Below are 13,124 nucleotides of genomic sequence, written 5' to 3' on the forward strand. Positions count from 1 at the left end.
TTAGCCAGGACAGATAAGGACTAACAAACAAAACCAAACCAGAGTGGAAATGGCAACCCGAGGCTCCCCAGCAAAAGCAAAGAATTGGAGGGACAGAGAACAGGCTCTGCTCTTCACTCAGGGTGGACTGGTTGGCATCTCTATGTGGGTGGCATCTCTAGCTCTTTCTTTTGTTCCGGCTCTGATTACCTCCCTCCCTAGGTGACATCCCTGCAGGTGCCATCTTCACCTGAAGGCCCTTGGCTCCAACCTGCCTCTGTTCCCAGGAGCTTTCTGGAAGTTACTTCCTGTTTCACAGCCCCTCTCTTACTTTGAGGTTCCCATTTCCAGACTGAAAGGACAGACTACCTCTGCTGACCACCCCAATTTCCAGCAAGCTTTTTAAAATGGATTAGCACCTAGGGATTCTTGCAGGCAGGTGGAATTTATCCCCAGATTCTTTAATTGGATGTAGTTTTTTTTTACATTGGAAGAAATTGAGAATATTAACACTCTTGCACACATCTTCCTAGACAGGGTGAATGGAAAGCAGCCCTTTGACAGAAGAAAGACAGAGACCAGTTTCCAGTGAGCTCCTGAGGGTATGTCAACTCCATGTAGATTTATTTTCAATTTCCAAGCAGCTAAGATTCTAGTGGACGTCAGTTTGTGCTGGCTTTATTTTCACAAATGCTCCATTGGGTGCCACATGCGAATGTGGCTGTTGGCCGCAGGTTAGGTGGCACACGCTCATTTTGTGGGCAAGTTCTGGAAAAGTGGTTAGCATAGGGTTTTGCAACGTAGTGATCTACTTTATAGATTTATATGTAAGTACCCAGATTGGTGGTAGGTGAATTTGGTGGAATCATTTTCTACCAGCATCCTAAAATCATATTTAGAATTGTATTTTAGCAAAATGAATGTAGTCTGGCTGGATATAAAACAAAAATTTCCAGTTGGGGGTGAAAGTGAAGGGAAGGGCTATTTAGAGGGAGTGTCCCCAGCCGGTGGGGACCTGGCTCCCTGGGGGTTGTGGATGGGGGTATAAGAGGCTCGATTTTGCCCATCTCTGCTAATGATGTGGAGCTCCAGTAAACAGCAAGTTAATGGACTTCCCAGATATGTGAATTTCAACAGCTGTTGCAAACAACAGTGAGCACAGAAAAAAAAATATATGAAGGAAGAGAGAAAGGAAGAGGAAAGAGAGGAAGAGAGGGGGAGGGGTGTCAGCAATGGAAGTAGGAAACAACAAGGATGAGGTCCAGTTTTTAAAATCCAGATTCTTGTATCTGGGCCTGATTGCAAATGCCATGTATCCTAGGAAGCCATCTGGAAAAACAGCCAATCTGAGAATGCCCTGAGGGTGGCCAAGGACAGACTTGTGGAGGGAGTTGTCTGGATTTCCTAGGGCTTGGTGTGCCTTTAGAGGGGAGTAGAACAGACTTTTGATATAGAAAGTACATGTGGTTACCCTCCCTTTTGGGAGAATTAACATCCATGGACTTAGAAATTCACCATCAGTAGTAGGTTAAAATTTATGTATTGCCAAGGAGTGGTAAGAGATTACATCTTGTCATCTTGTTTTAAGACTCTTTATAAACTAGCCCCTAGTTTTTATTTTTTCTAGCTTCGTCTATTTCTATTTTTAATAGACGCCTTATACCTCAGGCAGGTGGGGTGGTTTGCTGTTCCCATAATATATTTTTTTCCTTCTGCTTGGAAGCTCTGCCTTGTGCCCCCAACTCCCTCCTGTCCTCCTCCCTGTCTGCTGTTCGTCCTTAGCAGGCAAAGGAGGGGCTCCCCCTAATCCCCAGAGGTGTCACTCCCTGCAGGGCCCAGCAGCCTTTTGCACGGACCTCTGCTGGGACACTGACCCCACTGCCTTCTTGTTATGTGTGTCTTTGTCTGTAGCTTCTCAGAGTTAAGATGCTGAAATATTGCAGTGAAGTAGGCCTTTTTCTTTCTCTGTCTCTCAAGTGACTCAAATTGTTTCGCTGACTTGATCAGAGCTCAGTAAAGGTTGGCTGAGTCAGAGTGAATGAGTTAACCATGAGTTACAAAGTGAAGGAATAGCCAGATTGCTTCCTCTGTGACACCACACAGAGCCCGTCTGTGTGGTTGAGGGGCCGCTGGTGAAGGATGAGGGGCACCAGCCCCCATGCTGTGTGGGTCACTGTAGACATGGCTCTGCTGTCATCTGTACAGAGGCCAAACTTGTTTTAGCCTTAATAACTGTTTAAAGCTGACTCCCAAGGAAACCAGTCTTGTTTTTTTATGGTCCTGGAGGATTTCAGAAGCAGATCTGGAGATGTGTGTGCACAGGGTAAGGTGGTAAAGGTATACAGTTGGGTCCTTAGAGAGCAGTGGCTTAGAGGAGACTGTGCTGTTGCTGTGGGCTGATGCGGGAGGTGTGATTCTCTTGGAATCCCGGAAGGCACCAGTGTGGATGCCGCCGCTTGTGTCTGATGAGTGGAGAAATGGGTGCTCGTTTTGCACACTGATGAGATCAAGGAAGTGTGGGGAGCTGAGGGGTGCAGGGGGTAGCAGGTGGGGTGATAGCTCTCTGGTTTTCCTGTGATTTCTAGGTGTAAATTGGGCTGTTGAGGGGAGGCAGTGGCCAGGCCCAGCCCACCAGTGGAAGGCAGAAGGCACGAGCCACAAGATGAACGGGGGCAGTTAACTAACCAGGCCGCCTGGGGTTGAGGATGAAATGGGTACCTGAGTTTTCCTTTTAAGTAGCAGAGGGCTAACATCTGAGGCCCTGCCGGGAGCCAGGGTCTCGGTGGAGAGGTGAGAACACACCTGGGAGCAATATAGAGAGGTCTTTTTTCTTTGCAGCACTCGAAGTCTGATGGCAAAGAGAGACATCTATGAAGTAACCCCCAAAGAAATGGAAAACTAAGGGTGGTGAGGAGGGCAGTGAGGGAGACATAGATGGTAAGCAGAGGTCCTGGGTAGGGGTTTTTGAGCTGGTCTAGGAGGTCAGAGAGGGCTCCTTGGTCGGTATGCTTGAGCTGAGAGGCCAAGGAGGACAGGATTGGTTCGGTGAGGAAGGGAGAGAAGTCTGAAGCAGAAGGAACAGTAGAAGCAGCCCGGCACTGTCATTCTTTGATGTAATAAATTTCCTCCAGATATTCAAGTCTGTGCTTCTGCTTGACTGAGGATCATCTAGGAAATGAAACTAAACTTGGCTTCGACCTAGACCTTGTGTGACCTTGAGGTCATCACCCTCTCACAGGTGGGTGCTATGAGTTGAAGTGTGTCCCAGCAGAAAAAGACATTGAAATCTTAATCCCCCCGTACTTCAGAATGTGACCTTATTTGGAAGCAGGGTCTTTGCAGATGTAATCAAGTTAAGATGAAGTCACTGGGGTAGGCTCGGATCCAATATGACTGGTGTCCTTATAAGAAGGGGAAATTCAGATGCAGAGGCAGATGCAGGGAGAGGGCGGCCCCGTGAGGACAGACACAGAGATAGGAGCTGTGCTCCCGTAAACCAAGGAATGCCTGGGGCTCCCAGAAGCTGGCGGAAGCAAGGAAGGACCCTCCTTTAGATGCCTTGGAGGGAGTGTGGCCTTGCTAACACCTTGATTTTGGACTTCTGACCTTAACAACTTGGAAGGAAGGCATTTCCATTGTTTTAAGCCACCTGGTTAGTGGTTCCTTTTTGTGGCAGCCCTAGGAAACTAAGACAGTAGAGGAAGGAAGGACAAAGAAGGATTGTGTTGAAGATGAAGTAGAATATATTTATACCTAGAACAAGGCCAGGAACATAATAGGTGCTCAATGAACAGTATCTACTCTTGTCTCATTGGGTAGAAAACGGGCACATTTTATTTTTCTATGTGTGTGATGGGGTAGGGTTTGTTTTTTGTGTGTTTTTGGAAAAATTGGAAGTACTCAAAGGTTAAATTGGGATGCTACCTATCTATCTATTGATTGATCCACCTATCTATCTGTCTATCAAATTTGCAGTCACCCTAGAGAATCCTTTACTTACCTGTGCTGAAAAAAATGCTCCCATCAGTTACCCTATGATGAGGTCTCCAGCCCTTTCATCAGAAGACAGAGCTTTAAAATGCAGGTGGGTAACAGTGACCTGAAGACATACTAACAGGTAAATGATAGATCTCCAGATTCTTCTTTGAGGGCAGTTTTGATTTTGATACCAAGGTGGGAGAGCACAGAGCTTACCAAGGCAATAAAGGCCTGAAGTACAGAGGAGGGCACCCCACATGAGATAATGCAGTGAAGAAAACTTGTTTTGCCCACCTCCTAGGTTCACCCAGGCATGGCCCCAGATGGAAACAGAATTTTTCCTGGTGCTCCAGGCTGCTTCCCATTCCCATGTAAATTCTAGTCTGATAAAGCCTCACCTATTACACAGGTGTTTTAGAAAACATCTGGATTCTTAGAGACACCGACGAGTCTAGATTATTTTTTTCCTTCTTCTCTTAGTATCTGAAATTTAGGACTCACCGTCACAACACAAATACAAAGATGGGCCAGGCGCGGTGGCTCACACCTGTAATCTGAGAATTTTGGGAGGCTGAGGCGGATCACCTGACGTCAGGAGTTTGAGACCAGCCTGACCAACATGGTGAAACCTCTTCTCTACTCAAAATACAAAAATTAGCCGGACTTGGTGGCACGTGTCTGTAATCCTAGCTACTCAGGGGGCTGAGGCAGGAGAATCACTTGAACCTGGGAGGCAGAGGTTGCAGTGAGCTGAGATCGCACCACTGCACTCCAGCCTGGGTGACAGAGCGAGACTGTCTCAAAAAACAACGACAACAACAAAAAACAATACAAAGATGACTTATGCACTTGAAAATGGGAGTCCTCCGCTCAGATACAGATGTGGAAATCTACCTGGTTTTAGTAGCTGGTAAGGAGGCTTTAGTGTTGGGCAGCCCGGAATACTAGTCCCAGCTCTTGGGCAAGCTATTAGCCTTTCTGCACCTGTGAAATGGGGATGATCATGCCTACCCACTACAATCAGTTTTCATAGTGATGATCAGCTGAGAGAGCATCTGTAAACTGCCTAGTCTATTGTGTGTGTTATAGAAGGCGCTCGGTCAGCATGGTCAGTTTTACTTGCATGTGTTTATCCTGAGCGGTGGACTTTATGCCTCCTGAAGGCTGATTGTTGGGATTACTTCAAGCATCCAGTTCTGTACCTGGTTCCATAAACATTTGTTGAATAACTATTGATTGAGATTTAGTCACTGTTTTACCATAGTGATATCTAAATCACTATTATATAGTAGAACCCTTCTTTTTTTTCCCCCAAAATAAAGCTCTAGGGGTACCCCAGCATATAAAGTGAATCTAAGAAGAGCTTCTGCTATTGCAAGCAGGACACGAACCACCTCTCTTTTCCATTTCTTTCCTTCACTGTTCCTCAGACATACCCTACAAGGAGCCATTTGAACACCTTACTCTGGGAGTAGAAGGGCTAAAAGCTCTGCTAGAACTGAAGTTTGAAAAGAGTCATTCCACAGAAAGACTTCTGGGCTTAGTGTTCCGGAGATCAGCTGCTAAGGCCATAGCTAACAGCCTCGGCAGATAACAGCCTTTCCTATTATCAAGTTTTCTTGAGAAAGCCTTTTTTCCCCCCCCGTCAGGAAGTCAGTCCTTATTCCTAACTAAAAGTTGTAAAATTTAGCTGTCCTTAGTAAAGGTGGAACACATGGTCCTCAGCTTCTGTTTTATTTATTTTTTTTTTTTGTATTTCTGATGGCTGTTGTTATGTCACTCCTACCTGAGTTAGAGGCCACAGTGCTGTTTGCTTTCCTCCTATATTTTATTCTCTAGCCCTTAAAGGAATAATCAAAACTCCTTGGGCTGGGTGTGGTGGCTCACATCTGTATTCCTAGCACTTTGGGAGCCTGAGGCAGGAGGATCACTTGAGGCCAGGAGTTCAAGATCAGACTGGTCAACATAGTAAGACCCCCATCTCTAAAAATAATTTGAAAAATGTAGCCAGACATGGTGGCATGTACTTGTAGTCCCAGCTACTCGGGAGGCCAAAGTGGGAGGATTGTTTGAACCCCTAAGTTTGAGGCTGCAGTGAGCTGTGATCACAACACTGCACTCTAGCCTGGGTGACAGAGTGAGACCTTGTCTCTAAAAAAAAAAGAATAAAGAAAAGAAAAGAAAAAAAAAGGAAGCTCATTGACGGTAGAGGCACCTTTTTTTTGGAGTCTCCAGAGAACCTTGCACTTGAAGGACAAACATGGGCTCTCTGCATGGAACTGATTCTTCTTTGGATTTTCCTTTATTGTCCTAAATAGACATCATCATTTGTTCTTGTGAAGGTTCTTTCCTAGAACATTTCTTTTGTTTTGGTTTTTAAAAGACAATAATTGGGCTTCTGTCACATTCTTTGGAAAACTATCTTTAACTATGCAGCCTGTTCACTCATAACAAAAAAATTCCTATTCTCTCATCCATATGCTCACAGAAGATAAAGCTAAAATAGCTTGTTTTATATTACTGGTATTGAAATGACAAATATGTCTCCAAATAGCAAATGGGTAGAGTAATGCAGATTTAAATTTCACCTGGGTTAGGAGGCATTATTTCTGACAACACTGTTATTTCACCCATTCATCTATCCATTAACCAAACATTCATTGAGCATTTACTTAGTGCCAGGCCCAGAGACACATGGGCGATGCATAGCTGAATAGAAAAGGGTCAAGGAAGGCATGGCAGGGAGCAGCATATAGTGGAATTATTAGCATTTTACCTCCATTTACTCCTTTCATTGTTTTTAGGATTAAACACAGGAAAAAGAATCTATATGTGCTTCTTCAAGGTAGTATATCTCAAGGAAACTATTGGCTTAGTATGTTGGGGTTGGTTTTTCTGGTTTGTAGATTGTTCATTTTTCATTTCTTCTCTTGTCCCCTGAATATTCTGTACCTTCTGTGTCCCTCCCTCTATGTCCCTGTCCAGGGACTGGGCAATCAGAGAGGGACAGAGAAAGGGGTGAACCTGTAGCTTTGCTTTTTGTTAGCTACTCCAGGTAAAGACTAGTTCAGAACTCAAATCCTAAAGTGATTTTCCTGTATGAAATGTGACTTGGGAGTGTTGGGGGTTTCCTTAGCCCAGTGTTAAAGTGTCATGACATGGCCTTTGTTAGAAGAGTCACTGGATTCCTAATATTAACTCTGCCAGTTACTCTCTGGGTCCCTCCTCTACCTCATCTGAAAAGTGAGCATCGCCACGCCAGTCTTTTAGAAGTATTGTGAGGATGAAATGCCTGTATGCTGCTGGCACATGCAGGTGCCCAGCAAATGTCCATCTCTTCCTTCCCCCTCTAGTATTTCAAGGTGACAGGCAGCAGTTTTCACCTAAGTGTTATGCCTAAGAAATGATAATAACACTGTTCACTGCCATATTTTAAGTTTAACCCCTGTACTTATTAAAGGGCTATCAAATTTGGTTGAGGAAGACCAGGGGTCATGAGAATAGTCTTGACCTTGCCAACTGCTGTATAGTGTGATCTTAAGTAATTCTCAGCCCCTTTCCTTTGTCCCTCCCATCTTACCATCTATCAGGAGGGGAGCCTGAATGGTCCCCTCTTCCTTGCAGGGGAGCTGTGGGGCACAGATGAGATAAAGCAGGTGGAGTACTTCAAGAAGTTTAAAACTTACAAATGCCAGAGACTTACTATCATCACTATCATTTGGACATGGAATAATTCACTTTCAATTCCTTATTCAGTATCACTTTTGTGGGCATGTCTTTTACCACCATATTTCATGCATACATGTGCCCAGTTCTGTGGAGCTCGGTTCCGAGCAGCGCTAGGGGCCTGAACTATTGTTGCCCTCTTAGGACACAATTTTATGTGGGGAGAAGCAGCAGGCTTTATTTCACCTGCTTGAAACTCTAGTTGCGGAGAAATTTGGCTCAGACTTTCCAAAATAAACTCACCTTTGGGCTGAATCCAGGAGTGGAAAATTTTAGCTGAAAAGGATGGCTTGTCAGAAAACATAGGAGTGACTGCCAGTTGGGGGTATATGTACTCCAGAGGAGGCGGGGTGTAAACCCAGCTGTACCATTCCCTGCACCGCATGCTCCAACCAGACCAACCCAGCCCTCCGTGAGTAGAGGTTACAGGCTTATTGGAAGGAGGGAGGCATGACAAATCTTAAGGATTGTCTGTTTTTTTCCACTGTCAGATAAACCTCCACGCTTTGGCTTCTAGAGTGATGGGTGGGCTTGCTTTCCTTTTGTGGACTTGATGGCATTTGACTGTATAATTATTCTTCTCAGCTGAATATCCCTGAGTGTCCTTTGACATGATGGTGGTATAGGTAGCTTTACCAGGCATAATTTCTATAATCCATAGAGTGTCAAGAAGGTACTTATTTTCCTATCAAATGCTGCTGACCTGATTAAGCCTTCTGCCTGGCTTTGTAGCTGAAGATAATGAGTTTGTCCAGTGCAGTGGCTGTTGGGACCTGGGGTCTTTCTGAAGATGATTGTAACCTGGGTGTGGAGTGGGGCCTTTTGTCAGTTGCTTTAAGTTAGATATCTGCTTCGGAGCTCTGTGTCTGGCTCTGTTCCCCAGGTCATAGTAGCCAACAAAGGGACCTGGTCCCCTGCAGTTGGCCCTTGAATTTTTTCTATTGTTTGAGAACTAGAAATTATTTCTGCCAGAGATTTCACCTGAGAATACATCCAGGTGAGTTCTTGAGGTTAGGGTAGGATGAGAAGCAGTAGAAGCCCTGGGGGAAAAGAATTCTGAGTTGATGCTGGGGTAGGAATGCCACAGGACTGGCCAGGAGAATAGTTTCACAGCTGCTGTTGTAGTTGGCAAGAGAAAGAGGCTGTGAAATGAAATATTACACAGGATTGCCTTAGACACTCAATGGAAAACTTTTTTCCCTCCTTCCACCAGAGGAAATGAATGCATGCTGATGGTAATGAGAAAATGAGGCTCTGAAAGTGCCTGCTTTTCCTTCATTTTCATCTTTCCCTTCTTTTCTCTGAATCCTCCCTGCCCTTGTGTCAAGCTTCATTCCTGGTTCTCCCAGGTCGGAGGAACTTGAAGCAGTGTTTGTCAACCAGTCTTGACTGAGAGGTGTCTGAGAAGACTGGGCTCTACCCTTGCAGGAGTCAGATTGGGTTCCAGAATGATCTTTGCTCTTGTTTCTGCTTTGAATGAATGGTTTGCACATGTCTCAATCTCTGGCATCACATCCCAGCAGTATCTTCTCTCCTGTTTATCCTGAGGCAGGATTTTGTATTGGCCGCCTGATAGTTTGGCCCCCCACAATGAATTAAATTTCAGGAGCAGGAAAATGGGAACCCCTGTCTTCTGTGTGTAAGAGAATCTAAGAATACTGCATGTGACTCATGGTAAGAGATTTGATCATCAATAGCAAGAAATACCTTTCATTTGAACTGTGTCTTTTAGTTACCAGAGTCCTTTCTCATTCCTTATTCCTGTGAGAAGGCAACTGGGGCAGAGGGTGGTTAAGTGATTTGCTCAAGATCCCAAACAGAATAAGCAATGACAGACATGAACTGGTTTTGCTTTTCACAGGTCAGTGGAAATTGAGTCGATTTTCCACTTTGACTGGGGAACTAGCTCTCTCCCCAAAGATGGGGGTCTTGGCCAACTCTGGAATTCTGTGATTTTATGACTGTTATATTCCTCAGTCTAACAAATACCACATCTGAGTCTGCAAGAGCTGGTGTTTGATGATTGCAGTGGAAGTCCCTCGTGGATCGCAGTTCATTACTTCACAGGCAGATATTCCTCGGCTGGAGCATGTGTCCCAGAACTTACCAGGTCTGCTTGCAGCCCAGGCCTGTGCATCAGTCCCCATCTGTTAAATGTGGAGGCTGCTGCCTTTCTTCTGCTCATCAAGAGTGAGTCCTAGCCAAGATTGTAATTGTTACCAAACATCTGAATTCACTGGAGAGGCAGGAAGGGTGAGTGGATAATAACACCTTATATTCCCATAGAAAGCTTTGTACTTCCCAGAGCCATTTAAACATTGATTATCTCATTCTAACTTCAGAACAGCCTTTATTATCTTCATTTGACAGATGGGGGAGAAATGGAGGCACAAAGGATTTGTCACTTGGCCAAGGTCACAAAGCAGACTCGAAGCTGGTCCTGTGACTTGCTCTTGCCCCTGTGCTTGTCCTTTTGGGAGAGGCTTTATCTGTTCATGGAAGTCAAGGATGTTTCCTTCAAATATTTTCCCCTCAGCCCCTGCTTTTGAGGATCTGCACTGGGGGAGGGAGAACATTTCTTCTGTGGCTTCTCATGTCTGTGGGACACACAGTTCGTGACGAATATGAAATAAAATGGAAATAGCTCCTGCATCCTCCCACACAGACGAGCTGAGAGTCTGCCTCTGATGTGAGAGCCAGCATGGAAGGAGCGATGGCTCTGACTGTCCCCTTCTCCTTAGTTCCCAACTGCCAAGCCAGGAATCAGACCTGGGAGTGCAGGCATGAAGCTCCAGTTAGGCAGGCCCCAGCCTTCCTGCAGCATGACTTATGTCTGGTACCCCTGCGGGTTGCATTCCTGCTACTTCTCATAAGGTAGACACAAATTGGAGGCCTCCTCGATGGCAGGCAGTGCATGAGGAATGCTGGGATGCTGCAGGGTGCTGCACATGTTTCCTGCCTTCGGTGAGCTCCTGATCTACTACCAAAGTCCGCCTCTGTCACTCCTCCCTACGCATCATAGGTTGGACTCGAGAGCCTGCAGATTTCCTTTAATGTCTTCCTGGGCAGAGCAAGTTGCTAAGCTGGGGCTCCAGTCCACAATCATCAAGTGCCACAGAACAAAGCTGTGAGGTCAGTTGTAGCAGAGATGGCTTATGTGTCCACCAAAGCCTACATCGTGGGAAAACAGCTAGACTACACCTCTCATTCCCTTATGACCAGGTGATATGGCTTGGCTGTGTCCCCACCCAAATCTCATCTTGAATTCCCACATGTTGTGGGAAGAACCTGGTGGGAGGTAATTGAATCATGGGGCCAGGTCTTTCCCACGCTGTTCTCATGATAGTGAATAAGCCTCATGAGATCTGATGGTTTTATAAGGGGGAGTTTCCCTGCACAAGCTCTCTCTCTTTGACTGCTGTTGTCCATGTAAGATGTGACTTGCTCCTCCTTGCCTTCCACCATGATGGTGAGGCCTCCCCAGCCACGTGGAACTGTAAGTCCATTAAACCTCTTTCTTTTGTTAATTGCCCAGCCTCGGGTATGTCTTTATCAGTAGTGTGAAAACGGACTAATACACCAGGTATGGCCAGGTGTGGTCCTGTGGCTCAATTCTGGCCAGTGGAATGTGGGTGAAAGGAGTAAGTGCTTCTTCTAGGCCAGCCCACAAAAACCTCCTGGGTCAGTGTCCCAGGTGCCTTCTCCCTCTGTTGGCTTAGAGCAGCCAGTCATAGTGGTCTTGGGGGCCATGTGTTGAAGGTGGCAGAGTCAGAAGAGGGAAGGAGCCTGACTCTCCAAATCCCTGCTTGGAAGAGAGCCACTCCTGTGTGGATAGTAGCACACAGTTTCACCTTGAATGGCAGTGAGCCACTATTTGGGGATTTACCTGTTACTCTAATATACCAGTTTGAGGGACAAAGACAATGGCTTGAGTCAGGATCATGGATTCAGTCTGGATGAGACAAGTGGGATTTGTGGAACTTACTGGCGCTGCTGCTCACACCTGGAGCTGCCTCTGGGTGTGAAAGAGTAGGAGGTGAAGACCCCCAATTCCCTTCTGGAAGAGGTTAGTAGGGCCTACCAGAGCTTGGTGGCAGGTGCTGGTCAGGAGCACCCTGGGCTGGGGCCAGCATACCGGGCAGACCCAGCCAGGCCAAGGTGGCAGCTGCTCCAACCAGGCCAAGACCCATGCACTGGGTTCTCAGCCTTCCTGGGTCAAGGCCAGAGGGCTGGTGTGATGGAAGATGCCCCAGTTCTGGCAGATCTTGGCTCTTGCTTCATGCCCTATATCAGCCAGCTATTTGACCTTGGACAAGGCCCTTCTCTGGCCCTTGGCATGATTCCTTTCATTTGCAGCAGCTGGGTGTGGACTAGATGATCATGGATGTCTATGAATGTGAATTTTGAAAGCTTTAGTACAGACTATGCTCTAGGAGTTTTTAGAGTTCCTGGGCCACCCCATCCCCATTCTGGATTCCAAGGCTATGGTTCTGCCTTAGTGTGACTGCTGCAGCATGTTGTCAAACAGCACTTTGACTTTCCCTGTGACCCTAAGTCAGGGACTTCCAGATCTAAACTCTTTCAAACTCTTTTGAATAAAATGGAAGGCATCTCATCTCCAGTCCCCATCTCTATTCACCTGGATATTGTGACATCTCCCACTGGGAGAGATGTCTCCTGTCTCCCCTGTGACCATGTATCTTTTTTTTTGTTTGTTTGAGACAGTCTCACTCTGTCACCCAGGCTGGAGTGCAGTGGCATGATCTCAGCTCACTGCAACCTCCACCTCCCAGGTTCAAGTGATTCTCATGCCTCAGCCTCCTGGGTAGCTGGGATTACAGGCACATGCCACCACGCCTGGCTAATTTTTGTATTATTTAGTAGAGATGGGGTTTCACCATGTTGGCCAGACTGGTCTCGAACCCCTGACCTCAAGTGATCCGGAAAGTTCTGGGATTACAGGCTTAGGCTACTGCGCCTGGCCCATTTATCTTATTTAATTAACACGTCCATAGCACTGGCTAGGTGCTGGGCACCGTTCTTGGACTTTTCTGTGTATTAACTCACTTAACCCCTGTAACAACCTGATGATGTAGGTACTATCACTATCCTCATATGACGGGTAAGAACACTGAGGCCCAGCCTGAGAGATTAAGGAACACATCCCCAGTTTTTCAGCAGTAAAGCAAGAGGCCAAGCTGGGATTTGAACCCAAATAGTCTGGCTTCAAAGTCCATACCCTTGCCCACTGAGGTACACAGCCTCTTGTAAGTACTCCTTGAAAGTCCATACATCCTCCAGAGTCTCTAATATGTCCTCCTGAGAGCTTTGCTCTCCTGCTTCTGAATCTCAGTCCTAGATGGTCTGGTCTCAGTGGAACCCTGGAGTGTTTTTTAGCTCTATTTTCTTCTGTATATTTTCCTGCATGTTTTTCTCTTTGT

The 13,124-nt window shown here is 46.1% G+C and overlaps 1 protein-coding gene and 1 pseudogene across 19 annotated transcripts in view, besides 1 other annotated feature; one reads left to right on the top strand and one right to left on the bottom strand.

Moving 5' to 3' along the window:
• Positions 1 to 13,124, top strand: part of PRKCE (protein kinase C epsilon) — a 536,712-nt gene that overhangs the window by 46,150 nt on the left and 477,438 nt on the right. For 7 of the 19 annotated variants that reach the window (XM_047445094.1, XM_011532971.4, XM_047445096.1 and 4 more), the window contains one exon: positions 513 to 581. The exons of 9 other annotated variants lie outside the window; for them this stretch is intronic. In XM_047445094.1, the coding sequence (XP_047301050.1) occupies positions 522 to 581 (60 nt within the window). In that variant the 5' untranslated portion in view covers positions 513 to 521. Of the gene's footprint in view, positions 1 to 512; positions 582 to 604; positions 2,303 to 3,110; positions 4,064 to 13,124 lie in introns of those variants that run through there. 3 more of the 19 variants (XM_047445099.1, XM_017004488.3, XM_011532978.3) reach the window with 3 other exon arrangements.
• Positions 3,030 to 3,079: an enhancer, noted in NCBI's record as "active region_15689". NCBI's record gives its function as "activates an Ori minimal core promoter by ATAC-STARR-seq in GM12878 lymphoblastoid cells {active_cell/tissue: GM12878}" and the evidence as "EXISTENCE:reporter gene assay evidence [ECO:0000049][PMID:35858748]".
• Positions 12,874 to 12,946, bottom strand: TRQ-TTG5-1 (tRNA-Gln (anticodon TTG) 5-1; annotated as a pseudogene).

The sequence above is a fragment of the Homo sapiens genome, chromosome 2 (assembly GCF_000001405.40).
Source record: "Homo sapiens chromosome 2, GRCh38.p14 Primary Assembly".
NCBI lineage: Eukaryota > Metazoa > Chordata > Mammalia > Primates > Hominidae > Homo > Homo sapiens.